Source organism: Homo sapiens, chromosome 1 (assembly GCF_000001405.40).
Source record: "Homo sapiens chromosome 1, GRCh38.p14 Primary Assembly".
NCBI lineage: Eukaryota > Metazoa > Chordata > Mammalia > Primates > Hominidae > Homo > Homo sapiens.
In genome coordinates, this window is record NC_000001.11 from 1,956,593 (window position 1) to 1,983,314 (window position 26,722).

At 59.0% G+C, this 26,722-nt stretch overlaps 1 protein-coding gene and 1 long non-coding RNA gene across 2 annotated transcripts in view, besides 8 other annotated features; one reads left to right on the forward strand and one right to left on the reverse strand.

Annotated features, from left to right (window-relative positions):
* Positions 1-26,722, reverse strand: part of CFAP74 (cilia and flagella associated protein 74) — an 81,830-nt gene that overhangs the window by 34,636 nt on the left and 20,472 nt on the right. Inside the window, exons 7-17 of the mRNA NM_001304360.2 lie at positions 17,433-17,606; positions 16,345-16,455; positions 15,388-15,490; positions 14,067-14,224; positions 12,043-12,241; positions 9,779-9,934; positions 8,296-8,469; positions 7,157-7,275; positions 3,372-3,438; positions 2,528-2,617; positions 28-192 (exon numbers count right to left, since the gene is read on the reverse strand). Of these exons, the coding sequence (NP_001291289.1) occupies positions 28-192; positions 2,528-2,617; positions 3,372-3,438; positions 7,157-7,275; positions 8,296-8,469; positions 9,779-9,934; positions 12,043-12,241; positions 14,067-14,224; positions 15,388-15,490; positions 16,345-16,455; positions 17,433-17,606 (1,516 nt within the window). The remainder of the gene's footprint in view (positions 1-27; positions 193-2,527; positions 2,618-3,371; positions 3,439-7,156; positions 7,276-8,295; positions 8,470-9,778; positions 9,935-12,042; positions 12,242-14,066; positions 14,225-15,387; positions 15,491-16,344; positions 16,456-17,432; positions 17,607-26,722) is intronic.
* Positions 776-2,438, forward strand: LOC107984872 (uncharacterized). Its single transcript, XR_007065354.1, has 3 exons — positions 776-1,561; positions 1,772-1,909; positions 2,310-2,438. It is a non-coding gene; the product is annotated as an uncharacterized LOC107984872 (long non-coding RNA).
* Positions 1,058-1,698: an enhancer, noted in NCBI's record as "H3K4me1 hESC enhancer chr1:1889089-1889729 (GRCh37/hg19 assembly coordinates)". NCBI's record gives its function as "activates a minimal SCP1, AML or CMV promoter by ChIP-STARR-seq in primed H9 embryonic stem cells {active_cell/tissue: H9 hESC(primed)}" and the evidence as "EXISTENCE:reporter gene assay evidence [ECO:0000049][PMID:30033119]".
* Positions 1,699-2,338: an enhancer, noted in NCBI's record as "H3K4me1 hESC enhancer chr1:1889730-1890369 (GRCh37/hg19 assembly coordinates)". NCBI's record gives its function as "activates a minimal SCP1, AML or CMV promoter by ChIP-STARR-seq in primed H9 embryonic stem cells {active_cell/tissue: H9 hESC(primed)}" and the evidence as "EXISTENCE:reporter gene assay evidence [ECO:0000049][PMID:30033119]".
* Positions 3,284-3,989: an enhancer, noted in NCBI's record as "H3K4me1 hESC enhancer chr1:1891315-1892020 (GRCh37/hg19 assembly coordinates)". NCBI's record gives its function as "activates a minimal SCP1, AML or CMV promoter by ChIP-STARR-seq in primed H9 embryonic stem cells {active_cell/tissue: H9 hESC(primed)}" and the evidence as "EXISTENCE:reporter gene assay evidence [ECO:0000049][PMID:30033119]".
* Positions 14,091-14,872: an enhancer, noted in NCBI's record as "H3K4me1 hESC enhancer chr1:1902122-1902903 (GRCh37/hg19 assembly coordinates)". NCBI's record gives its function as "activates a minimal SCP1, AML or CMV promoter by ChIP-STARR-seq in primed H9 embryonic stem cells {active_cell/tissue: H9 hESC(primed)}" and the evidence as "EXISTENCE:reporter gene assay evidence [ECO:0000049][PMID:30033119]".
* Positions 16,239-16,802: an enhancer, noted in NCBI's record as "H3K4me1 hESC enhancer chr1:1904270-1904833 (GRCh37/hg19 assembly coordinates)". NCBI's record gives its function as "activates a minimal SCP1, AML or CMV promoter by ChIP-STARR-seq in primed H9 embryonic stem cells {active_cell/tissue: H9 hESC(primed)}" and the evidence as "EXISTENCE:reporter gene assay evidence [ECO:0000049][PMID:30033119]".
* Positions 17,060-17,227: a silencer, noted in NCBI's record as "fragment chr1:1905091-1905258 (GRCh37/hg19 assembly coordinates)". NCBI's record gives its function as "represses an EF-1alpha promoter that drives an FKBP-Casp9 reporter gene in an ReSE screen in phorbol 12-myristate 13-acetate-treated (for megakaryocytic differentiation) K562 erythroleukemia cells {active_cell/tissue: K562(+PMA)}" and the evidence as "EXISTENCE:reporter gene assay evidence [ECO:0000049][PMID:32094911]".
* Positions 22,032-22,989: an enhancer, noted in NCBI's record as "H3K27ac-H3K4me1 hESC enhancer chr1:1910063-1911020 (GRCh37/hg19 assembly coordinates)". NCBI's record gives its function as "activates a minimal SCP1, AML or CMV promoter by ChIP-STARR-seq in naive H9 embryonic stem cells {active_cell/tissue: H9 hESC(naive)}" and the evidence as "EXISTENCE:reporter gene assay evidence [ECO:0000049][PMID:30033119]".
* Positions 22,990-23,947: an enhancer, noted in NCBI's record as "H3K27ac-H3K4me1 hESC enhancer chr1:1911021-1911978 (GRCh37/hg19 assembly coordinates)". NCBI's record gives its function as "activates a minimal SCP1, AML or CMV promoter by ChIP-STARR-seq in naive H9 embryonic stem cells {active_cell/tissue: H9 hESC(naive)}" and the evidence as "EXISTENCE:reporter gene assay evidence [ECO:0000049][PMID:30033119]".

Genomic DNA, 26,722 nt, shown 5'->3' on the forward strand with positions numbered 1-26,722 from the left:
TCCCCCATGGCTGAGTGGCACACTCACTAATTTCAGGGCAGACTGGGAGTCGTCCATCTCACAGGGCTCTGAAGCTGGCAGGAACTTGAAAGTCGTGCCCAAGCCCCCAACGTTGGTCAGCGTGATGGTCCGAGACGTGGTCTCTCCTACCACGTAGCTGCCGAAGTCAATGAGCTCCTTGTCGAGGGACAGCTGCCAGAGGACATGGAGTGAACTCAGGGCCACCGTGCCAGGCCCACAGGGTGCCCAGCGTGAGGCCTGCACGTGGCTCCAGGCAGGGCTGCCCTGAGCATTTGTGCGCGTTGTGCACTGCACAAGCAGGTACACGATTCAACCCAGAAATCAGGTGTGTATTGCTCATGACAAGGTGTGGCACGCGAGTCTGGTTTTAAGAACATCAAGGCAGGAGCCCCCTCGCCACGGAGTAACAAGGGTTCAGTGAGAGGACGCAGGGCCCGGATGCAGGGCCTAAACAAGGAGCCTGGACACGGGGCTTTGGAGGTCCTGAGGATGGATGGTGTCATTCCTGGGTGAGGTCAGCTGGACTCTGGATACAGGGACCCAGGGAGCATCCTTCCAGAACGGGAGCACGCCCTCCATGGGGGTGCCTCACCATGCCCGCTGTGGGCCACAGGCCACAGAAGCTCTGGTGCTGGCTAAGGATGCAGGCCCGGGCCATACCTCGGCTCTGCCCAATGGCCCCTCCTCGGGAGGCTTTTCTGGGCTCTGAGTTTGGAGGCCCAGGGGCTCCCCACTCTGTGCTCCTGCTCCAGGGGCAGGACCAGGGGCCACCGACGCAAATGGACGTGGTTCGCAGAGGGCGGTCGGGGTCCAGCCAAGGGAGGCCGCCTCCTTCCCGCCTGCACCGCCTGGGTCCTGTTCTCCCCTTGTTCAGATGGGGTTTTACTGTTTTTACAGTCCCCAGCCTGGACGCTCCCCTGGGAGAAGCAAGCCCCTGCTCAGGGGAGCCGAGGGTCTCGGTGCTCCTGTCACAGAGGAGCACTTGACACTGCAAAGACCAAATGCGGGAGAGGCCGGGGCAGCTCTGGCCAGGACACCTGGGGCCTCGCCGGGCACGTGCTCCATGATGCTGATCCGGAGTGGAGCAGGCCAGTACCAGACTCCTGCCGGGCTCCCAGGCTGAGCAGGAGGGAGCCGGAGCCTGGCTGTCTGCGGGGGGGCGGGGGACTTCCTGCTGCCCCTGGCCCTGGTGCTCGGTGTCCTGGGCCTGAGTCTTGGCTCACCAAGAGCCCGCACAGCCGAGTGCCGGCCCAACCGTGACCGCTCTGAGGAGAAGGCGGCAGCCACAGGGCAAGGAGCTGCTCGGGTGCCCTAGGACGGCAGTGGTCCCTGCATGAACCCAAGCGGGGCCACTTGAGTGCCAAGAGGAAGGGAGACTAAAGTGACTGGAACACACCAAATACTCAAACACTGGTGAGCCTATGAAGAAACTGAGAGGAAAACACTTCTCTCTCTGCCACCATCGGTGACTCTCATCCCAACCCCTCTCCACGGCGACACGCGGTGAAGGAGGAAGCACGCGACAGAGAAAGTTACACAGGTGCTCATCAAAGGTGGCTTGGGGCCAGCGTGGCCTGGATCACGGGTGACCATGAGGGCGTCTGCTGATCTTCCTGGGGTGGGGGACATAGCGCGCCTCTGCCCTTCGCCTGCCCCGGCTTGTTCCTCCTCTAGTGTAAGAATGGGCCTCTTCCTGCCCCGCTGACGCAGGCTCAGGCTGTGAGACTTGCCTTGACCTGAGAATTCTTAGGAGATAATGACGTCCCCACTGTCCTCTGGGAGATGCTCGTGCTGCCGTAGCTGCCACTCTGGAGTCCAGCCTGGACGGGGCTGGCCGCAGAGGGCTTCACACTCGCGGCTGAGCCAGGAGCCGTTTGCTGTGTGGCAGGTGCGGTGCGAGCTGACCAATTACTCGGCGGGGGCCGGGGGGACAATGATGTGTGGGTTCCTGGTTTACTGGAGATGCATGCTGAAGTTTCTGAGGGTGGAGTGTTGACATTTTACTAATGTACTTTGAAATGGATCAGCAACAACAGATATAGCAGTTGATGGACCAAGCAAAGGTGTCCGAGGCCGACAATGTGGAGTCTGGGAGGATGCGGGGTCCGGGTTGCAGCGCGTGGAGCCTTGTTCTGCTGTTCTGTTTTCCTCTATGCTTGAAATTTTTCTTAGTTAAAAAGAATCAGGCGGGATCCCCCCAAGAGCTGCAGATGAATGTTAAGTTTTCCTGAGCCACAGGCCCTGCAGTCTGGGCTCCACACAGAGCAGGGTTTGTCTCATTTTTCCAGCACTGGTCCGAGTGCCCCACGTTCGAGACCCCACCTAAGGTTCGGCTCAGGCCCACCTGAGCTGCTGTTGGAAGAAGGGGCTCAGCCCCTGGTGAAGATTGGAGCTTCCACCTGGTCCCCCCGCCAACCTGCACCCCCTCCCAGGAGATGCCGTCCCCCACTGGGGTTCCCAGCCAGCATGCCCCGAGAAATGCTGGCTCGGACACCTTTGAACTCACCGAACATTTCTTTGTTGAACATTTCAGTGGAACTGAAAACTCGCCCGTCTGAGCCAAAAATGAGATATTTCCTTCTAGATCCTTGTTTATCTAAAACATAAAACAACCCCCACCACAATACACTTCTGCAACTTTTGTGTGTTTTGTTTTTTTTTTGGACAGGGTCTGGCTCTGTTGGCCAGGCTGGGGTGCAGTGGCACCTGCTCGATTCACTGCAACCCCCCTCCACCCACCCCCACCTGGGGTCCAAGCGATCCTCCCACCTCAGCCTCTCCACTAGCTGGGATTACAGGCATGCGCCACCATATCTGGCTAATTGTATTTTTTGTAGAGACGGGGTCTCGCCATGTTGCCCAGGCTGGTCTTGAACTTCTGGGCTCAAGCGACCCTCCTGCCTTGGCCTCCCAAAGTGCTGGGATTACAGGCATAAGCCACCACACCCCTCCCTCCTGTAACTTTAGCCTGTTACATGTGCCGTGGCTACCTGGGCCAGGGCCGCCTGCCACCTGCCCAGCTCGGGTGACCCCAGGGGAAAGAGTCAGTAGAGGGCATCTCAGGAGGGCTGGACACTAGCTTCCTGGAACATCCCAGCCCTCCCGACTTAGACCCGAGAGTGCACGCCCTCGGCCACTAACCCAGAGGAGCTGCGCCGCGGTTCTGCCCAGCATTCAGGAATATGTTGAGTGTATTTTTGGAAGTAAAATAGCAAAACAGGGGCCTGCGTGATCCTCACTGAGAGGCCAAGTGCATCCTTCCCCCATCATGTTCTGCGCCACCATGCCCGATCACAGGCTCCACCCACCACCACCTCCCCTTCGAGAGAGAACGGGCCCCTCTGACTCACCATCGGCTTGAAGGTGACAAGCACTTCACAGGACATTCCGGCTGACAGGGGGCCAGGGGGGTCAAAGCTGCAGGACGTGACCCATAGCACACGGGGGTTAGTGCTGCGGAGGGCAGACGCTCGCCTCACCACCCAGAGCACAGTCAGGCTGGGCCTCCTGGCCTCCTCCCCATCCCGGGCCTGGCCCCCTGCCCAGCCGCCTTCACCCCGGGGAGTGCTGGATCTGCTGCATTCCCTGCTGCCGCCAGTACCTGGCAGGCAGGGGGCGCTCCAGTGTGTGCGAACGTTTGTGGAGTGAGGGAGTTAATCACTGAAGGCGTGAGGCAAGTCCCCAGGCCAACTGCCAGGAAATGGGACCCCATGGGTCGGAGAGGGCCACAGTTCCCCTGGGCACAGGTGCCAGGCCTGGGACCGGGGCTCTAGGGCTTTGATACCAATATGGGACCAGGGGGCTGTGGGCAGGAGCCAGGAAGAGAGCTGGAACTGGGAGTCCTGAGACAGCTGGGACCCTCGGGACCCTCTCAGCCCCTTTCAGGGAAAGAACCACAAAAATAGCCCCTACTGCACAGGCCACTTGAGGGAGCTGGTCTGTCTTGGCCCAGATCAGGGTGAGGGAGCATCTCCCCAAGGAATTCCTGACGCCAGGCTGATTTCACAAGGTTGGATTTTACCTAATGTGCTTGGTTTAGAAATGCACAAGCTAAAATTTTAATGTAAAATGTGTCCCTGGCTGGCAACATTCCCACGGCACCAGCAGAAGCAAACCCAAAGCTCCTCCAATTGGGAGGGAAATGCTTTGGTGCCGACTGCACAGAGCCCGGGATGGAGCTGCCGGGGAGAGGAGCAGAATCCGAGAGGGTGGACGTGCGTGCCTCACATAAACCAGCAGCAGAGTGCAGGGCCGAGCTCCAAACCCTTCAGATGACAGAAGCGTGGAGTGGGGATGTTAGAGGACGTATAGATAAAATGGTTAGAGACAGAAATAGAGAATTCCAGACGTGAGAAAAGAACAAGACACTGTCAAGAAATGCAGACTCATCCAAAACAGAACTTGGCATTTTTAGAAATGAGAGACAGGGCAGCTGAGTAAGAAACTTACTGAGCAATTTCAACCGTTGATTAGCAGCACTAAGGGGACAAGTGGTGAACCGAGCAGCACCTAGAGCACCACCCAATGCGAAAAAGAGACAAGAAATTTCCAACCCGACGGGGAGGTTTCAAAAGGAGGAGCAGGAGGGCAGAGCCGGAGAATGAATGGGGGAGGGGCGATGCCTGGGGAGCTGGGGCTGAGAAGTTCCCAAAATTGTTCAAAGATCTGAATCTTCAGATTCAACAGCACAGTGAGGTCTAAGAAAAATCAGCCCACACCAGACGCACAGCAGAGCTGCGGGACATTAAGGATGAGAGAATCTCAGAGCAAGCAGGCGGAAAGCCAGGTATCCTCCAAAAAAACCAGCACCTGGACCGAGGCCACCTCCCACTCCAGCAACAAGAGGCAGAGGGCAGGAGAGTGGTGGCCTCAACCTGTTGAGAGAAAATAACCGTCCATGAGAAGTTCTCATCCCAGCGTGGGGAGGAATGCCTCGGTGGCTGAGAGCACAGCGACCACCTAAACCCACCTCTGCACGCGCCCTCCAGAAACCACATGGATCAATGAGAGAAACAGGCGGGCTGCAGAAATCCCATGCCTTCAGCATGACTAGAGGACACAGAACCCTCCAGACTTAAAATTAACCATAAGGTGAAAAGTAAACACCAACCTCCAGCATGCATTCTCCATGCCCGCCTTCACAGAGAGCTACGAAGGTCTGAAAAACTGCAGGGAAGAGAGGAAGGAGACGGGAACAAAGACCCTAAGACTGACCTAAAATCAGCTCCCCAAAGAGAACATCACAGCCTCCACAAGAAAATACCAAGTCCCAGTGAGTCAGTGCTGATCTCAGGGAGGGGCCATCAGAGCCCACGCGCCCCTGGGGGCAGCCTCAGGAAGATGCCTCGTGGGAGAAGAGGAGGCCCCTCTGGAGCCTGGGCAGCAAGGGGGGAATGAGGATCCTGCCCTTGCTGACCCTCTTTTGAGAAGCTGCACTTCACAACGCTCGCGGGAGTGGAAACTCCTGAACTGGGAATCCGAAAGCCATCCTGGACCTACAAACCTGTCCACAAAGAGAAAACTGGCAGGAAGCAGGAAGTAGAAGAGAAAGAACTTTCTTAAAAATAAAGTAAGTTAGGCTGGGTGCTGTGGCTCACGCCTGTAATCCTAGCATTTTGGGAGGCCGAGGTGGGCCTCGGATCACCTGAGGTCAGGAGTTCATGACCAGCCTGGCCAACATGGTGAAACCCCGTCTCTACTAAAATACAAAAAATTAACCGGACGTGGTGGCAGGCGCCTGTTATCCGAGCTACTCAGGAGGCTGAGGCAGAAGAATCGCTTGAACCCAGGAGGCAGAGGTTGCAGGGAGCCGAGATTGTGCCACTATACTCCAGCCTGGGCAACAAGAGTGAAACTCCATCTCAAAAAAAAAAAAAAAAAAGTAAGTTACTAAGGAGCAGAAGAAAAGAGAAACATTGCAGAAAACATGGAAAAGGCCGTCAGAGGGAAAAATGAAGAAAAATAAAATAAAAGAGAAAAGAAGAAAATGGGCCAGGCACAGGGGCTCACACCTGTAATCCCAGCACTTGGGGAGGCTGAGGCAGGTGGATCACTTGAGCTCAGGAGTTTGAGACCAGCCTGGGAAACACAGTGAAACCCTGTCTCTACAAAAAATAGAAAAATTAGCCGGGCTTGGTGGCACACAGCTGTGGTCCCAGTTACTCAGGAGGCTGATTGAGGCAGGAGGATTGCTGGAGCCTGGGAAATTGAGGCTGCAGTGAACTGAGATCGTGCCACTGCACTCCAGTCTGGGTGACAGAGCAAGACCCTGTCAAAAACAAAACAAAGAAAAGGAAAGCAGAAAGCATTAAAGGCAACCAGAAGGAAAACATCAGACACCAAAGACCAGCAAGGAGGATCCAAAACACAGGTAAGTGGAGTCTGCAAGGAAGCAAATGGAAACATTGTTACAGAGTGAAAGCACGGCCTTAATTCAGGGAGGCAGTGCTGAAATGAAGACAGCTTTCACCTTGACACTGAAAACACTGGCTAATTGCCAGGGAAAACTTATCAGAATGGTCAACATCAAAACATAACAATACAAAAGGAAACTCTGACAAGGTGTGGTGGCTCATGCCTGTAATACCAGTACTTTGGGAAGCCAAGGCAGGTGGACCGCCTGAGGTCAGGAGTTCGAGACCAGCCTGGGCAACATGGTAAAACCCGGTCTCTACTAAAAATATAAAAATTAGCCAGGCGTAGTGGCAGGTGCCTGTAATCCCAGCTACTGGGGAGGCTGAGGCAGGAGAATCTCTTGAATCCAGGAGGTAGAGGTTGCAGTGAGCTGAGACCGCGCCATCGCACTTGCACTCCAGCCTGGGCGACAGAGCAAGACTCCATCTCAAAAAAAAAAAAAAAAAAAAAAAAAAAGGCAGCAAAACAAAACGAAGAAAAACAAAAGGAAACTTGGGCAGCCAGGCAAAGTTCCAGCCATTCGTGAAGGGAAATGGGCTCGGTCTCGGACGACTTTGACACAAGAAGACAGAGGAGCCCCCTCTACAAAATCTTCGTGAAAATCGGACCTGAGGGCTTATGCCCATATAGAGCCTGTTCCAGCCGTTCTGAACATGAAGGGACCTATGAACCTCCTGCTGTCCCTGCACCGCGTCCCTCCCTGTCTGAGCCGTCCTCTTACTCAACGTGGATGAAGTCCCGGAGGTGCTCCTCCACGCCCACCAGCTTGCAGTAGTTGATCGTGTAGGTGGTGTTTACCAACGTGATCTTTTTCTTGTACACTTTGCCAATATCAAAGTCCTGGGAAAGGCCGAGGTAGCAGCTTCAGAGCGGGTCACAGGGGGCTGTGCTGTGAGCACCGAGGCAGCTTTGCCTCAAGGTAACCGCTGGTGAGCATTTGCCAACTAGGGAGAGGTTCCCAGGGAACAATTTCCAAGGTTTCTCCCAGAATCGAGAAGGCCCCTGGGGTGCATGAAGGACAGGTCTGGGGGTGGAACCTGTCACATAAGAGCCTTCGCCACTTGAGGCAGGACAGGGCCTTGCTGGGGCCCGCAGGTGGGAGTAAGAGAAAAGGCTCAGACACTGTGGGTTCCAAGGTGGGTCCCTGACTCCATGGATGGACTTGAGCTGGGGTCAAATACAGGAGCCCACAGCCTGCTCTGTCTTGCAGAGTTTGGCAGAGGCGTCCAGGCACCAACCTCAGCCTCACATGTTCCCACCCTGTCCCTGCTACATCCCTGTCCCGAGGTTCAGGGGACCCCCACTGCCCCAAGTGGCACAGGGCTTTCGGGGCCACGGCACCCCCATTGCTCAGACTGGCGTCCAGCCCTCCATGGGGATGGGGCCCTCTCCCTCCACCTCCTGGAAGAGAAGGTCCACACTTGGGCCTGTGCCTCCTGAGGAAGCCCCCGGGTTTTCCAGCGTTAAAAAGCGAAAGGCAGGCCAGGCGCAGTGGCTCATGCCTGCAATCCCAGCACTTTGGGAGGCTGAGGCGGGCAGATCGCCTGAGGTCAGGAGTTCGAGACCAGCCTGGCCTACATGGTGAAACCCCGTCTCTACTAAAAATACAAAAATTAGCCAGGCGTGGTGGCAGGCGCCTGTAATCCCTGCTACTCGGGAGGCTGAGGCAGGAGAATCGCTTGAACCCAGGAGGCGGAGGTTGCAGTGACCTGAGATTATGCCGTTGCACTCCAGCCTGGGCGACAGAGTGAGACTCCATCTCAAAAAAAAGCAAAAGGTGTCAGGGGTTGGGCTGCGGCAGGGCTCCCCTGCTGTCCTGTGCTGCTGCCCGTCCCGTTCCTGGCCCAGCTGCGGGCTCACCTGGAAGTGGAGGAGCTCCGGTTTGCTGTTGAAGGGGCGTCCTTGGAACTCACGCCCCCACACCACCTGCTTGTGGACCACCCTGCTCCGCAGCCGCTCCACCGTGCGCTCCAGGATGTCCTTGTCCATCTTTGTCCCGCCCACGGGCTTTCGGTCCACGTCCTCCTTGGGCACCTGGGGGTCACAGAGACAGAGGCTGGGGCTGTTAGCGGCTCCACCTGGGCGGCGCCGGTGGCAGCTCGGAGGCGAGGGTAGCGGTTAGCAGAGCACGGACAGCCCAGCCCCACCGGCTGCCACCAGCGCTGGAGCTGGGAAGAGCCCCATGGCCCGGGGAGTTGCTCTGAGTTGCTCAGAAAGGCCCTGGGGACCGACTGACTTTCTGCTCCATTGACAAGGCAGGGACCCCTCACTTCCAAAAAAGAGGAAACCAGGAAACAAGAGCAGACAGCTCCAGATTCAGGTGGATTTCTGGGAAATGATGTGGAGGGGGAACTTTCCAGATTGTTAAATCAGGACAAGAGGAAGGTTTTGAAAGGTTCTGCAGGAAGCAGTTTTCTCGAGCGGGCAGTGTCAGCACACACTGGGCTTTCTCAGATGAAAAGCCGCTTCCCTGGCCAACACCAGCAACCAGGAAGATCAGAACTGGAGTCCTGAACTGTCCCTTCAGAAGCTGCTTGGACTCTGCGTGGGTCCTGGCTCTGGGCTGTGGGCTGTCCCTGCTGGTGCCCATGCCCGGCAGCCGGGCAGCCTCCTCCCTGGCTTCCCGGGGTGGGGGGGGCACTTGGCACCCTCCTCTTGTCCAGAGGCAGCCTTCTCCCTTGGGTGTCCCCAGTGGGCAGGTGGTGGCTCTGCCTGGCCTGTCTTGTTCACCACCCTGGTCAGCCCGGCATCCCCAGAACCAGCAGAACCAGGTGGCTTTTGCCCTGACAGTAGAGGTGGCCAATGCTTACAGAAACCGGGCGGCGGGCATTGCCCTCCCACGTGGGACAGGGCCACAGCCTGAGCCACACTGCTGCAGAGACCGTGTCTTGCTGTAACTGCTCTTTCAGAGGCAGAAGGACCCCAGCGCCAGATGGGGCATGTTTCTTACAAAAGGCCGTCAAAGAAAGTTTGCACGCTTCTTCTAGAAAGATGCTTCTCCAATAGTACACGGAGTAGCTCAGAGTCATTCCCTCAGCCTTTCAGCTTTGGAGCCCCACCGTCCCTCCCCGTTACACCATGGTGACCGAGCTGTCTGTCAGGGGGAGCTTGGGGTCGTCGAGCACGCGTGGTGCCCTCCAGGCTCCGCGAAGAGGGAAAGGCATGAGTGTGGAGAGGGAGGCGGGGGGCGTCCACACACAGGAGAGGGTGGCGGGAGATGGCAGGCACAGCCAGGAGAAGCCTCAGAGCAGCTGGTGTGGCCGGGGCAGGCGTGGGAGGTGGCGAGCCGGCGACAGAGGGCCGGGGTCCGTCTGCAAGCGTCTAAAGGAGCAGGAGCTGATACCTGGTATGGCTTGTAGTCTTCATTCCAAAGCCCAGAGATCTCGGGCTCAGCTAACGTTTCCTCCTCTGAGCTGGCCCCGGGGTCCCCCTGGATAAGCTCACTGGAAACGACTTCCAGCAACCGAGAGGGCCCGGGGCCTGCAGCAGCCTCGTAGTCCTGCAGTCGGGGAGAGGAACATCGCAAAGACACGCTCATGACAGAGAACAGGGAAGAGAAACTCGGCCCAGCCCCCGCCGGTATGGCCCGCTGCCTGCCCCCGTTCTTCTGCCTCACGTACTCTGCATGGAGATAGCGGTGCACACGGTTTTGTAACTTTTTCTACTTGAAATATAAGTATTTTAATACATTATTAAATATTTTTCTACAATGCTCAGAAGAGTCTGCAAAATATTTCCTTTGATAGGAAAATGTTCTAATTCACGGACTGGCATCCTTGGCGCCGATCCTCAGGCACTCATCTGTTCTCATTTTTTTTTTTTTTTTTGAGACGCAGTCTTGCACTGTCACCTGGGCTAGAGTGTAGCAGCGCGATCTCAGCTCACTGCAACTTCTATCTCCCGGGTTCACATGATTCTCCTGCCTCAGCCTCCCGAGTAGCTGGGATTGCAGGCGCCCGCCACCACACCCAGCTAATTTTTTGTATTTTTAGTAGAGATGGGGTTTCACTATGTTGGCCAGGCTGGTCTCGAACTCTTGATCTCATGATCCACTCACCCTAGCCTCCCAAAGTACTGGGATTACAGGTGTGAGCCACCGCGCCTGGCGCAGTTCTCATTTCTGTGGATATAAGCCATGCCCGGGAAAAGCCCCAGGCTGACCCCAGGAGGATGGCTGTGGTGGTTTCCTCAGAATGAGTTTGGGGACGGAGCCTTGCCTATCTGCTCTGGCTCTGTCCCAGGCCTGCTGGAGAAGGGGGAACTGGGCCGGGTAGACAGGGTTCTTCTTCCTGGGGACCGTCCTATGGAGCGACAGACAGGAAGTCTGGACGGGGCCAGCGCATTGCTGTTACTGTGACCTGTATAGTGCCACAGGTGGTGCCACAGAAAATCGCAGGGAGCAGCTCACGGGTGGGGGTGGGGGCAGGGGAGGCTTCTCTGGAGCAAGGAGGCGCAGCAGGGTGCTCCTGGCGGAGGGATCGGCGGGTGCAAAGGCCCCGGCGTGAGACGGGCAGTGAGGGGTGGATGGGGCAAAGGCTCAGCCCAGGCACTGGGAGCCTGGGTAGCAGGAAAGGACCTTCTCTGGTGCCCTGAAGGGCACCGCAGAGACCCTGTGGAGGCCAAAGCTGAGGCAGCCCAAGGCTTTCTCTTTCCCAGCAGGGCATCGGTTGCAGCAGTGACCTTGACCTTCAGGTTTTGGGGTACACAAGGGCAGAGACTGCAGCACTGTGCCAGACTCAGGAGAGGACCATCGTCCCTACCCCACACCTTTAGGGAAAGGTAAACTAGAAATACATTCCCCCAACTGAAGCCAGTTGCCTGCAGCAGCAGTGGACACCAAGCAGGCCCTGGATGTGAGTGAGTGAGTGAATGAGTAAGTGAGTGAATAAGTGAATGTGTGAGTGAATGAATGAATGAGTGAATCAGTGAGTGAGTGAATGAGTGAATGAGTAAAGAATGAATGAGTGAATGAGTGAGCGAATGAGTGAATGAATGAGTGAATGAGTGAATGAATAAGTGTATCAGTGAGTGAGTGAATGAATGAGTGAATGAGTAAAGAGTGAATGAGTGAATGAATGAGTGAATGAATGAAGAATGAGTGAGTGAATGAATGAAGAAAGAATGAGTGAGTGAACGAATAAAGGATGAGTGAGTGAATGAATGAGTGATAGGAAAGCTGTCCTCTAGGTGCTATCAGGAGTGCTTTGTAGCAGGGTGATCCCAGGCATGTGGTCTGAACGGCTGTGCACATCTCCCTGGCAGGCGGCTGACCCAGCTCTACAGGGCCAGGCAAGGTGGTCCCAGCCTGGTGGGCAGCAACACTGCTGGGGGTGACGCAGGGTCTGGTGGGCACACCGAGACCAGGAGGACACTGGACCCTTGCTGGGGATGCTGCGGCCATGGGCCTCTCTCATGTGGTGGGTCCGTAGTGTGTCTTGTCCCCTTGTCCTTGAGCTGAGTGGCGGCCACTCAGCGGGCTCAGCAACCCCCTGCAGGTGGCCATGGTGCTGAGGTCCTCAGAGGATGTCTCACCACACCTGAGCCCTGAGGCCCCACCTGCCCTCCACAGGTGTGCGGCTTCTGTCTACAGGAAGGCGTTTTGCTCACCAGTGTGTACGTGTTGGTTGGGACTGTGGTCTTCTTGCAAAAGTCAGAAATGTAGTTCCAGGTCTTGTCCCTCAGGGTCAGCCGGTGCCTGGCACTGGTGGGGGGATGCTGTTTCTTCCTCTTTTCCTCCTCAGCCTCCTCTTTCAGAATCCGACTGATGATCTCCTGCTTTCTGAGCTTCTGCTCCTCCTCAAAGGCCCTGCGTGGAGTCGCTTCTCAGATGAGTGCAAGAGGTCCCCTGCCTCCACCTTGCCCCAGATGAGACAGTGCCCGGCGGCCCCTCCCTAGCGCCCTCCTGGGGGCTCCGGTCCTGCCCAGCAGCCCCAGGTGAGACAGCGCCTGGCGGCCCCTCCCTAGCTCCCTCCTGGGGACTCCATCCTACCCAGCAGGGCTCTTGGGGTGGGAACTTCCTGGTCCTGGAGCTAAACGCAAGCTCCAGTGGGAAGCAGATGGGCAGAGGCCAAGCCAGAGGTTCCAGGCTTAAACCCCAGCCCTGCCCTGCCCAGTCCATCCCTGCCAAGCCCAGTCCTGCTCAGTCCTGCCCAGCCCTGCCCAGCCCTGCCCAGCCCAGCCTAGCCCTGCCCAGCCCTGCCCTGCCCAACCCAGCCCTGCCCAGCCCTGCCCAACCCAGCCCTGCCCTGCCCTGCCCAGCCCAGGCCTTCCCAGCCCAGCCCTGCACTGCCCAGCCCTGCCTTGCCCAGCCCTGCCCTGCCCAGCCCAGCCCAGACCTTCCCAGTCCAGCCCTGCCAAGCCCAGCCTTGCCCAGCTTAGCCCTGCCCTGCCCAGCCCAGCCCATCCCTTCCAAGTCCAGTCCTGCCCAGCCCTGCCCAGCCCAGCCCTGCCCGGCCCAGCCCTGCCCACTTCGCAGCCCAGTCCCCCAGCAGCCTTGGCTGCCCGGAGGGCTTCTTCCAAGCCCTTATTTCTAGGCTGGCGTGGGGCTGCCACTGAGAGTAGCACCAGGGCTAAAGATGTTCATCCACTCACTGCAGCTGCACTTCCCGGGTGCCTCCTACATGCCAGGCCTGCGCCAGGCTAAGGGATGTATAGGCGGTGGAGCTGCTGCCAGGACCCCCCCGCCCAGGTGGGCAGGCTGATGGGTGGTGGAGAACTCTGATCGTGACTCAGGGGGGTGGGGAGGACGCACTCAGGGCTCTGTGGCACCCAGAGGAGGATGCCTTGCCCAGTGAGAGGGCCAGGAGCCCCCGCCCAGGCAGATCCTAAGCAGTGATTGGCCAGGGCCGTGGACAGGGAGACTGGGATGGGGAGAAAGGGCCAGGCTCCCGGGATGAGGGCAGCTTCGGGCAAAACCCAGGACAGGGTGGTTTGCGTGGAGGTCACTGGGGAGCGTTACGGGCAGGGCTGGGAAAGGCGAGACTGAGCGGGAGAGAGGGGCCTTGTAGGAACCTGGCCCCGAGGTCTGGATCTCAGGAAGCCCAGTGGGGCCCGTGGGTGGGGGGTCCGAGAGGGCAACATGGGCCCCCGTTTGGAGAAGAACAGAGAGTGAAGCCAGAAGCAACGTGTTCACCACGGACCCAAGCTGGCAGGAGGTGGTCTGAGGGGCCAGGAGGGCCCCAAGGCCGTGGCAGCAGGAAGCCAGGTGGACGGCCCTGGACAGGGAGTGAGCAAGGGCAGGCCCAGCAGCACCAGGTTCCCTGGAGGGGCCTGGTGCTCCCTGGAGACTTCTGGGTGGGCCAGGAAAGAGCCCGCCAGTCCCTCCTTGTGAGAAGTCAGGACAGGAGCCGGAGGCTCTCGACAGGGGCCGGGGTTTCAGCGTCTGGGAGGGGAGAAGGGGCCGAGGGTTGGGCGTGGACTGGAGTAGGGGCAGGGCTGGGCAGGCTGAGTCAGGCCCAGGCAGGGCAAGGGTAGCAGCCTGGAGCCCCTGTTCCCGTGCCCCACAGCCGCCTGAGTGGGCGCCCTGGGAGAGAGAGCAGCTTTGCTCAATGTGAAGCCGAACCCCCTTGGCTCTCCCTGCACCCACTGACTGGGCGGGTGCCTCCCGGTGGCACCTCTGCCACCACCCTCACCTCTTCTGGGCCTCCAGCTCCTGGCGCCGGCGCTGGTGGACAAGGTGCCTGAATGCATCCCTGCCCTGGGCCAGAATCGCCTTCTTCTCAGCCTGGACCCTCTGCTCCGCCAGCTCTGCCTTGGCACGGTCCCATGCTTGGAACTTCCGCAGTGTGTCCTTGGAAACAGAGAGCACTGAGATGACAGCAGCAGCACCCACGGGCACATGCACACGCTCACACCTGCACATGTGCACACACAGGTTCATACATGCACACGTGCACACACGTGCACACACACATGCACACCTGCACATGCACACATCACACATGCACACCTGCACACACGTGCACACACACACGCACACCTGCACATGCACACATCACACATGCACACCTGCACACACGTGCACACACATGCTCACACACGCACACCTGCACACACTCATACATGCACACCTGCACACGTGTGCACACACATGCTCACACGTGCACACACATGCTCGCACATGCACACCTGGACACACATGCACACCTGCACACACGTGCACAGACGTGCTTACATGCACACCTGCACACATACGCGTGCACGCCTGCACACACATGCACACACTCACGCATGCACACACATGCAAACCTGCACACACGTGCACATACACGCTCACACATGCACACCTGCAGACACTTGCACACCTGCACACACGTGCACACACATGCACACCTGCACACACACGGTCACACATGCACACACGTGCACACACGGTCACACATGCACACATGCACACACACATGCAAACGTGCACACACACATGCTCACACACTGGGCCGTTGAACAGATGTCCTTAAACCAATGTTGACGCCTGCAGATCCTGTGAGAGACCACTGGCAAACTGTCCGCACATCCCAAGCGTGGGGCTGGGTGTCCCTGCACGTCACCTGCCCGCCTCTGCTCCTCACCTCTGAGCCTTTGCAGATGCTGTTCCCACTCTTCCCTCCATTTTCCCAGCCTGAATCCCCAGCCTTGGCCCCAGGGCATGGCCTCGAGGCACCCAGGCCCTCCATGTGTCTCATGAGGACGCCACTGCTTCCCCAACAAGACCAGGCCCCATGGGAGCAGGGCTGGGGTGCCTGCTCCTGCCTGACTCCAGTGCCTGGCCCTGACCCACACGGAACCCGTGGGCAAATCTGTGGCACAGGCTCGGGAAGCCTCCAGGGGTCACCAAGTGCGCGGGTCAGCCCTGGACGCCAGAGGACACGGGCCTGGCTCCCAAGGAGCAGGGGCCCAGGGACGGACCCCGGCAGGGCGCCAAGGGAGAGGCTGGGTGGGGCTGCGGGGGCCTACCCGGTTCGCGGAGATGCTGCCCTTCAGCGCCACCACCGCATCCATGCGTCGCCTCATGTACTCGTGGCACTCCATCTCCTCCTTCTTCTCTTGCTCTCGGATTCTGAGGAAGGACATTTAAACATTTTTGAGGCTCTGTCGCCCAGGCTGGTGTGCAGTGGTGCGATCACAGCTCTCTGCAGCCTCGACCTCCCAGGCTCAAGTGATCCTCCTGTCTCAGCCTCCCAAAGCGCTGGGATCACAGGCATGCACCACCACAAACGGCCACATTTTTAACCGAGGAAGTGACACAGCGATGCCGTGTGGGGTGTTAATTACAGGAGCCTCGGTGCTATCATTTCCACCAGGAATGTGATTAATGGTGAGAACACAAGAGGTGGGATGGGCAAAAGGTGCTGGCGCAGAGGCCGGGCCATGACGACATGGTGGGAACATGCCCTGGAGGGCCAGGCCACGAGGACATGGCGGGAACACGCCCAGCGCATCTCAAGGGCCTCTTCTGAAAAGAAACAGTACCTCAGCACTAAAAATACACACTTATTGGTTTTTGATGATAAGGTGGTGATTCAATAATAAAATCAGGAGGCTGGGTGCAGTGGCTCACGCCTGTAATCCCGGCACTTTGGGAGGCTGAGGCGGGCAGATCACCTGAGGTCAGGAGTTCAAGACCAGCCTGGTCAACATGGTGAAACCCCATCTCTACTAAAAATACAAAAATTAGCCGGGCATGGTGGCGCGTGCCTGTAATCCCAGCTACTCAGGAGGCTCAGGCAGGAGAATCGCTTGAACCCGGGAGGCGGAGCAGTGAGCCGAGATCGCGCCACGGCACCCCAGCCTGGGCGACAGAGCAAGGCTCCATCTTAAATAAATAAATAATAAAATCAGGGCATTTCAAGACAAAAGCAAGTGACCCGTATTCTTGGGTTTCTCCTTAAGGACGTCGAAGGGAGGCCCTACCTTCCCAGGGAGGCCTTCAGGAACCGCACGGCAACCTTGTGGTTCTTCCGGGCGTCCTCCAGCAGCTTCTGGTGCCTGAGCCCGAGCTCCTTCTGGGTGTTCAGGGACTTCCTGTGGGGATATGGGGCCGTCAGAGGGAAACTCGGCATCACACGTCCCATCTGCCCCCAAGCCCTGCACGGCTGGAGCTCGTGTCCCAGAGACGCCGTGGGCCCTTTCGCTCAGCTCTGTCCCGCACAGCCTCCCTTGGGGAGGAGCGAGGGTCCCTGGAGAGCTGATGCCGTGGGCCACACAGATGTCAAACTCTCCACGCTACTGGGGCTCCAGTGCCAGGGAGCCACCAAAGGCAAGGTTTGATCCCAGCTGGGCAGGGGTCTGGGAAGAGGACGGTGCAGGCACAGCAGTGCTGTGGGGAGGGAGGAGGCAGGGGCTGGGGACCTTGTGTCTGCAGCCAGGGCCTGGATTCCACAGGGGTTTGTGGCCTGGGCAGCTGAAGGGAAGGAATGAGATGGGGGAGGGGATGGAGGCCAGAAGGGGGTCCCGAGGAGAGAGGCTCACGGCAGGTTGGGACAGCTGGCCTGATGGCCTGTGGAGCACTTGGGGACTGGCCTAGTAGGTGGCCGGGCCCTGGCTGAGCAGGAGACTCATGACAGAAGACGTGTGGGGAATGGGCCTGAGTGCTCCACAGCCACGCAGGTGGGGGCCGTGGGAGGGGTGCAAAGGAGCAGCCAGAGGTGGGGATGGAGCCCAGAGAATGGCCTGGCTGGGAAGAGGAAGGGGCTGCCGGAGGGAAAGGGGAGGGGCAGTCTTGCTGGAGCGTGGCTTTAGTAGCCAGCTTTAGCGGCTGTATGGTGGCTGCGGCATCTTGGGAGGGCTGGGGCTCTGGGCAGGTGCAGGGGAGTGCCTGACACTTGGGAAGGACTCAAGGGCCCGGTGGAGGAGCAAGCTGGGAGGAGGCAGGGAGGGGTGGAGGTGGATCTGGACAGATGTGGAGGGCGAGGCTGAATCTGGAGACCCCTGGGGGAGAGGGCGGAGGGGCTGGCAGAAGCTGCTGGGAAGGGATGGAGGTGGGCCTGGGTGTCGCCTACCTGATCCTCAGCAGTCGGTTCCGCTCCACCTTCCCCAGGGCCTCCTGCTCTCTGCAGAGCTGCTCGGCTGCGCGCACCTGGAGCCGCCGCCCCGTGGCCTCCACCTCCTCACGGTCAGCTGTCCGGAAGGCCTCGAGTCGCCCCTCCTGGATCTCGATGTGCCACATGGTGTTCCTTCAAACAAGAGGCAAAGCAGCTGGAGACGGGCCCCACAGTCATCCTGGGGTGGGGGTTTCGGCATTGAGTTCTGACAAATCCTCCAGGCAGATGTTGAACACCCCAGATGGGTTAGCTCCCTCCTCTAGGGGCCATCTCCGCTCTGAGTCACCCAGACACTGAGGCCCGCCCTGCCTGCCTCCAACCTCAGGAAAATCACTATGGGTTCAATCCAGCCCGGCTAGAGCCTGGCCTGCACTCCCGCGTGCCACCTGCCGGCCTGAGGCTGTGTCCGTTGGCTGCGGTGGGCCTGGGGCAGGCCCTGCCCAGCCTGAGGAAGGCCTTCAGGAAGGGACAGCCGTGACTCTTTGGCTGGGCTGGAGGATCCCTGGTGCAAATTGACCGGCACCCAAGACCACCCCTCAGTCTTCAAATGTGCCTGGGGTGGGGGCTATGGAGCGTGGAGTCAGCCAGCCCTGCCCGGGGCCACATGTCCTGGATGACAGGGGACCTGCCTGACCCCTGGTCTTGGGCGAATTTGTCCTCGACTGTGAGTGTGGCGTCTGTGGTGGCCCCAGATGACACAGTGCCCCTTGGTTCTTGGCACAACTCAGGGAAATTTCCGGTGAATCTTTAGTTGGAGGAGTGCGTGTGCTGTGGAGGCTCAGGCTGGGAAAGTTCCTTCTGAGGATGTGGACAGTGTCCTTCTAACAGCGGCCAGGTGAGAGCCGCTGGAGAGGCGGCCTGGAAAGAGACACCTGGTGGAGGGATGCAAGGAGCCGCTCCTGGAGACTGCGAACGGTTCCACCCAGAGATGCGGCTCAGGCCGGGGCTGGCCACGCGAGGATCAGAACCCTGGACAAGGTCAGACGCAGGCGTTGAGCCGGCATCCTCACTGCATTGCTGACATTCCACGTGACGTGTGCCACAGCTCTGTCCTAGACACCCGCGATCATGTTCATTTCCACTTCGTCTTTCGTTAAAAGCTTTTCCTGTGGAGCCGAGTCCAGTCTCTCTCCCCACTGCAACACCCGGGGCAGGGGTCCCACCGCCTTGGCCCTCCGTGAATAAAGTCTGCTTTACATCTTTTTGAAAAAATCATGAACATATGTTGAATTGAGATACTCAATGGTTTTCTCTTTTAACGTGTTAATGTCAAGGATTTCTAACGTTGAGCCTTTTTCGGGGCTCCTAGGATATAAACTCCAACTTGGCAAGGGAGGTGTGTCTGCGTGTCTCACACGTGGCTGGATTTCAATGTTGAATGTTTGATTTGGGGTTTTCTGATTTGCCTCCTGAGATCGGGTTCTACTTTCCCTCTCTCGTACGCCCACTTGGTTTTGGCATCGAGGTTGTGTCACTGCATTTTAGAAACTGGGCATACCATGTTCTTTGTTGGGGTAATTTTAAACAGAGGGCTCCTTTCCAGGGAGCATGGGTCACTTCGGATCTCTGGCTGGTGTCCTGTCATGCAGCACGTTCATTGCTCCCCAAGTCTGGGGGACTCCGCGGAGCTTCCACGGGCGGGTTATTTCTATTCCTCCCTCGCGTGACTCATGAAATTCTTTAATCTGAGGATTCATGCTCCCATCAATTCTGGAAAACGCTCAGTCATTGTTCTGCTGGCTGTCACTTCCCCTGCCCGGTGATCAGTGCTCCAGTGGCCGTGGGAGCTAACAGCCTGCAGGGTCTCTTAGTAAAGAGGCAAGACGCTGTCCCAGATGCTGTCGTCGCCCATTCCTGCTGCTGTAGGAAAACACCCACGACCGGGTCTTCGCAAACAACAGAATTTCATTCCTCAGTTCTGGAGGCCGGGAAGTCCAAGGTCAAGGTGCCAGCAGCTTCGATGGCCTATGAAAGCCTGTTCCTCAAAGGCAGTGCCTGTCTGTGTCCTCACGTGGCAGAGGGACAGAAAGGCTCCCTCAAGCCCTTTTACGAGGCACTAATCGCCCCCACGAGGGCAGGGCCCCCATGGCCGAATCTCCCAGAGACCCCACCTCTTCCTGCCGTCACCTCCAGGGCGGATTTGGTTTGGACGCGTGTCCCCCGCAGGTCTCGTGTTGAACCGGAGCCCCCAGTGTTGGAGGTGGGCCTGGTGGGAGGTGTTGGGGTCGTGGGGCGGCTCCCTCATGAACGGGTGGGCCGTCTCCTTGGTGACGAGTGAGTTCACGGAAGATCTGGATCTTTGAAAATGTGTGGCACCTCCACCCTCTTGCTTCCCCTCTCACCATGGGAGACACGGCTCCTTCCCCTTCCACTGTGATTGGAGGCTTCCAGAGGCTTCCCGAGGCGCCCCGAGAAGCAGATGCCATCACGTTCCCTGTACAGCCTGCAGAACCCTGACCAATCAAACCTCTTTTCTTCTTATTTTTATTTCTTTTAAAATGAGTCTTGCTCTCTCCGCCAGTCTGGAGTGCAGCGGCATGATTTCAGCTCACTGCAAACTCCACCTCCCGGGTTCAAGCAATTCTCCCGCCTCAGCCTCTTGAATAGCTGGGATTACAGGCATGCACCACCACGCCCAGCTAGTTTTTGTATTTTTAGTAGAGACGGGGTTTCACCATGTTGGCCGGGCTGGTCTCAAACTCCTGACCTCAGGTGATCTGCCCACCTTGGCCTCCCAAAGTGCTGGGATTACAGGTGTGAGTCACTGTGTCTGGCCCAAACCTCTTTTCTTTTTTTTTTGAGACAGTCTCGCTCTGTTGCCCAGGCTGGAGTACAGTGGTGCGGTCTCAGCTCACTGCAAGCTCCGCCTCCCGAGTTCACGCCATTCTCCTGCCTCAGCTTCCTGAGTAGCTGGGACTACAGGTGCCTGCCACCATGCCCGGCTAATTTTTTGTATTTTTTTTAGTAGAGACGGGGTTTCACCGTGTTAGCCAGGATGGTCTCAATCTCCTGACCTCATGATCCACCCACCTTGGCTTCCCAAGGTGCTGGGATTACAGATGTGAGCCACCTCGCCCAGCCACCTCTTTTCTTTATATGACCCAGTGTCAGGCATTTCTTTATAGTGACACAAAGACTGACGAACAATAGCGTTGAGTTCCAGCAGACCAATTTCAGGGGCACTGGCCTTCAGACCACAGCAGAGGCTGATTGGGAAAGATTGGGATTTTGAGAATGGGAGGGAGGACATTTGAGGGTATCTGCACACATCTGAGCGAGTGCCCCAAACCGCCAAGCCCCTCTGCATATCCGTCCACAGGGAAGCAGCCTTCCCCTCCCTCGAAGGCAGGCTCTGCTGCCTGGGGGCCCCGTAACACCTCCCTGAGGGGCTGCCAGAGCTCCTCATGACCCCCTTGCCATCCTCTCTGGCCCAGATGCTCCCAGGGGCAAGAACAAAGTCTGAACTGAACTGAGAGGAGAAGGATCCCAGAGGAGAAGAATGTAGCCAATCTACACAGCAGGACGTGGGGGAAGGTGTGTGGGAATGAATTCCAACCCTGCCAGACCGCAGAGGGAAGAGCCTGTCCGAGGCTGGCCTGGGCATCTGATGTGGACATGCCACCAGCTCACCCACCCACTGCAGGCGGCTCCCATCACAAACTCAGCTGATCGAGGAAACCTGGACCCAAGAGAGACCTACACTGCAGAAAGCTAGATGCCAGAAAGTCATGCAGAAGGAATCCAAATGTTTGGAGAGACAACCCGTTGGAAAGTTTGTTGTTGCTGTTGTTGAGATGGTGTCTCGCTCTGTGGCCCAGGCTGGAGTGCAGTGGCGCAGTCTCAGCTCACTGCATCCTTGACCTCCTGGGCTTGCTTAATCAATCCTCCCACCTCAGCCTGTAATCTTGAGTAGCTGGGATTACAGGTGCACGCCACCACACCCAGCTAAGTTTGGTATTTTTTGTACAGATGGGGTTTCACCATGTTCCCAGGCTGATCTCAAACTCCGGGGCTCAAGCGATCTGCCCACCTTGGCCTCCCAAAGTGTTGGGATTACAGGCGTGAGCCACTGCATCCAGCTGTTGGTGAGTGTGACAGTGAGTGTGACCACATATAGAAGACATGTTCTTCATTATGGCTCCAGTGAGGAGAGTCCTGTGCCCTTTGAAAGCACCGAGGGGCACTCCGGACTGCGCGGGGGCCTGGCAGGGATGTTGCCTTTGAGGGGCTCCCTGTTGCCTTGGGGCGATGCTGGACCTGGGAGGGGTGGTGGAGCCCTGGGGTGCTGCTAGGCCTGGGAGGGAGCCGGGCTGGTTCCTCGGTGGGCAGCAGGGCAGCGTGTCTCAGCGGGGATGGGTGGAAGGGGTTTGGGGCGGTGGTTAATTGATTTTGGGGTCCCTAGGGCTGAAGTAGATGGGGACCCCACTCAAGTCCAGTTTATCTGAAGAGCCAGTGTGGTCAGTCGCAGAGGTGATGATGAAGGTTGGAGGCTGGACAGATGGGACCTGGCTGGTTTTGAAGATGGAGGAGGAACGCAGGCAGCTTTGGAGCTGGAAAAGGCGAGGACATGGATTCTCCTCGGAGGCTTCCGTGGGGAACCAGCCCTGCCCACACCTTGACTTTAGCCCAGTGGGACCCGTGTTGGGCCAATGACCTCTAGAACTGCAAGCTCATAAATCCGCGTCCTGCTGAGCTGTTAGGTTTGTGGATTTGTCACTGCAGCGATGGGATACGGGTGCAGTCAGGGAAGCCTCAGAGCAGGCCGGGACACAGCACCAGCGCCCTGCCGTGGGTCCCATGTGGCCAAGCGGGGTGCACACAAAGCCTCTTCTTCGTGCTGAGCTGGGCGTGGGAAGGCATCATGTGACGAGGCTGCACAGAACACGTGTGTCGTGCTGAGCTGGGCGTGGGAAGGCGTCACGTGACGAGGCTGCACAGAACACGTGTGTCGTGCTGAGCTGGGCGTGGGAAGGCGTCATGTGACGAGGCTGCACAGAACATGCGTGTGGTACTGAGCTGGGCGTGGGAAGGTGTCACGTGACAAGGCTGCACAGAACATGTGTGTGGTACTGAGCTGGGCGTGGGAAGGCATCATGTGACAAGGCTGCACAGAACACGTGTGTCGTGCTGAGCTGGGCGTGGGAAGGCGTCATGTGACGAGGCTGCACAGAACACGTGTGTCGTGCTGAGCTGGGCGTGGGAAGGCGTCATGTGACGAGGCTGCACAGAACACGTGTGTCGTGCTGAGCTGGGCGTGGGAAGGCATCATGTGACAAGGCTGCACAGAACATGCGTGTGGTACTGAGCTGGGCGTGGGAAGGCGTCACGTGACAAGGCTGTGCAGAACACGCGTGTGGTACTGAGCTGGGCGTGGGAAGGCGTCACGTGATGAAGCTGCACAGAACACGCGTGTGGTACTGAGCTGGGCGTGGGAAGGCGTCACGTGACGAAGCTGCGCAGAACACGCGTGTGGTACTGAGCTGGGCGTGGGAAGGTGTCACGTGACGAGGCTGCGCAGAACATGCGTGTGGTACTGAGCTGGGTGTGGGAAGGCATCACGTGACGAGGCTGCGCAGAACACGTGTGTCGTGCTGAGCTGGGCGTGGGAAGGTGTCGCGTGACGAGGCTGCGCAGAACACGCATGTCATGCTGAGCTGGGTGTGGGAAGGCGTCACGTGACGAGGCTGTGCAGAACACGCGTGTGGTACTGACCTGGGTGTGGGAAGGCGTCACATGACGAAGCTGCGCAGAACACGCGTGTGGTACTGACCTGGGTGTGGGAAGGCGTCACATGACGAAGCTGCGCAGAACACACGTGTCGTGCTGAGCTGGGCATGGGAAGGTGTCACGTGACGAGGCTGCGCAGAACACGCGTGTGATCGCTCACGGCCTGCCTCCCACCACCGAAGCAGCCTCCACCAGGCAGGGCTCTGCTGCTTCATTCATGGGAGAGGCCCAAAGGCTTCGGACGGCGTCTGGCACGCAGTGGGCACCCTCTTACCGCGTGGGGAGGACGGGTGAACGAGAGTGTATCTAAGCCACCGGCACAGATCGCAGTGGGCGCCCTCTTACCGCGTGGGGAGGACGGGTGAACGAGAGACTGTATCTAAGCCACCGGCACAGATCGCAGTGGGCGCCCTCTTACCGCGTGGGGAGGACGGGTGAACGAGAGACTGTATCTAAGCCACCGGCACAGATCGCAGTGGGCGCCCTCTTACCGCGTGGGGAGGACGGGTGAACGAGAGACTGTATCTAAGCCACCGGCACAGATCGCAGTGGGCGCCCTCTTACCGCGTGGGGAGGACGGGTGAACGAGAGACTGTATCTAAGCCACCGGCACAGATCGCAGTGGGCGCCCTCTTACCGTGTGGGGAGGACGGGTGAACGAGAGACTGTATCTAAGCCACCGGCACAGATCGCAGTGGGCGCCTCACAGCAGCCCCCGGGCACAGGGATGGGACCTGCGCAGGCGCTGAGGACCGGGAGGTGGTGTGAGCGGGCAGGGTCGTCTCTAGGGCCTTCTTTGGGGGTTCCTGGGACCTGCTGGCCAGGAAATGCCCGTGAGTCCACAGACGCTTCTGCCAGCCCATGGCCCCTTGCGTGCAGAGATGCTGGTCCTGGGAGAGCTGCGGGTGAGACACATGCAGCATCCCGTCTCCAAGATGATTCCAAGGACCCTCGGCTGTTCATGCCTGAAGCCCCTCCACGGGGTCTCTCTCGGGCTGGCCTGAACACCCCAAGCCCAACCCCCTGCCCAGACCACGACCCTCAGAAACCGAGACCCTCAGAAACCGAGACCATCACGCCTGCTGCCTTAGGCGGCTAAGGGCTGGGGCGGCCTGTTCTGTGGCTGCGGATGACGCGCATGGTGTGGCAGCAGGGACACGTGCTGGGGAAGGTTCAGGTGCTGTTTCCAGAACGCGGTTTGGGTCCCGAAGCAGCGGCCAGCCTCGTGGCCGCCACCTGTCCCAGAGCCACAACGGAGGCCTCCCGGGACCGACGCTGGAAGCGGGGACCACGCTCTCCAAGCTGCCCCTCGCACACACCCGTGCTATTTCGTTTCTGTGCTCTCTCCGTTGGGCTCTACCGCTGGAAGCCCCCGTTCCAGAGGGAGGAGGCCTTGCAGAGACCCTGCAACAATCCCACTGAGTGGAAGCTGAAGCTGCACCCAGCCGTCCAGTGCCCCTGTGCCCGCAGTGCCCAGAGACGACAAAAGGAGTCACCACATTGGCCACGGAGACCTTGACTGCGAGAGGGAGGGGGCGCTGCCTCCAACGGGACCCAGCGGGAAAGCGCCTGGAACCCGGGGACCCTCGGGGGCTGGCACAGCCAGCCGCGGACAGACACGGGGGCACGCAGGACACCCAGCCGCGGACAGACACGGGGGCACGCAGGACACCCAGCCGCGGTCACACGCGGGGGCACGCAGGACACCCAACCACGGACAGACATGGGGGCACGCAGGACACACAGCCGCGGACAGACACGGGGGGCACACAGGACACCCAGCCGTGGACAGACACGGGGACACGCAGGACACACAGCCGCGGACAGACACGGGGGCACGCAGGACACACAGCCGCGGACAGACACAGGGGCACGCAGGACACCCAGCCGCGGACAGACACGGGGGCACGCAGGACACCCAGCCGCGGACAGACACGGGGGCACGCAGGACACCCAGCCGCGGTCACACGCGGGGGCACGCAGGACACCCAGCCGCGGTCACACGCGGGGGCACGCAGGACACCCAACCGCGGACAGACACGGGGGCACGCAGGACACCCAGCCGCGGACAGACACGGGGGCACGCAGGACACACAGCCGCGGACAGACACGGGGGCACGCAGGACACACAGCCGCGGACAGACACGGGGGCACGCAGGACACACAGCCGCGGACAGACACGGGGGGCACGCAGGACACCCAGCCGTGGACAGACACGGGGACACGCAGGACACCCAGCCGTGGTCACATGCGGGGACACGCAGGACACCCAGCCGTGGTCACATGCGGGGACACGCAGGACACCCAGCCACGGACAGACACGGTGACACACAGGACACCCAGCCACGGACAGACACGGGGACACACAGGACACCCAGCCACGGACAGACACGGGGACACGCAGGACACCCAGCCGTGGTCACACGCGGGGACACGCAGGACACCCAGCCGTGGTCACACGCGGGGACACGCAGGACACCCAGCCGTGGTCACACGCGGGGACACGCAGGACACCCAGCCGTGGTCACACGCGGGGACACGCAGGACACCCAGCCGTGGTCACACGCGGGGACATGCAGGAGTCCCAGCTGTGGTCACACGCAGGGACATGCAGGACACCCCGCCAGGGACAGACACGGGGACACGCATATGCATGAGCCCCATGCCTCAGGCTGTGCCCAGGAGCTCCATCGGAGCACCCTGCAAACATCTGCTGGAGTGAAGTCCTAGAAAATTTAACACTGGGTGGAGAGCAGACCAGAGGTTGCCTGGTGGGGTGGGGCTACCCACTGAAGATATGCAGGGAACGTTCCAGATGCTTTGTACTGCATGCAAATTAGACCCAGATAAAGCTGACTTAAAGGAAAGTCCACGGGCAGTCCGGCAGCAGCCGGGCCCACAGGAGGAGGGCGGCAGGTGGGCTCCGGGCGCTCGGGGCCGCCTGCGGGTAGGGATGGGGCAACTACCTGCCCGAAATGAGGGTGGTGGGAGGCAGGGTTCACACCATCAGAGAAGGGGGTGAAATAGACCTGTGGCTTTGGTTGCAATTGGAATTACAGATGTGAACGGGTGGTTTTCAATACAGGCAGGCAGAGCTGCGTGCGTTTCCCACCTCTGTCTACTGACGGTTAAGGGTCTGGGTCCAGGCAAGGGCAGGGAAGAAGAAGGGAACCTGAGCCTCTCACTGTGCCCGAAAACGCCCACAGAGCGGCAGACACGAACGCAGGATGCGGAAGGATGCCACCGCCAAACGCAAGGCGGCTGGAGCACCCAGACCAATCCTGATGGGCCGGATCATACCCGCAGGGACACAGCACCCCCAGCCTACACGGAGAGCGATCACGGAGGGGGAACGCTCCCCTAACGGTGGAAAGCCAACTAATAGGAAGGGATGGTGCAACTGGAAACTCACCCCTTAGAAGCCATCACAGCAGGAATGAATTCTGGCAAGAAACACGGAGGGATGCCAGCGCTCGTGTGAAAGGGGACACGGAGCGGGATTTCCCAGCCTCAAAGCTTCT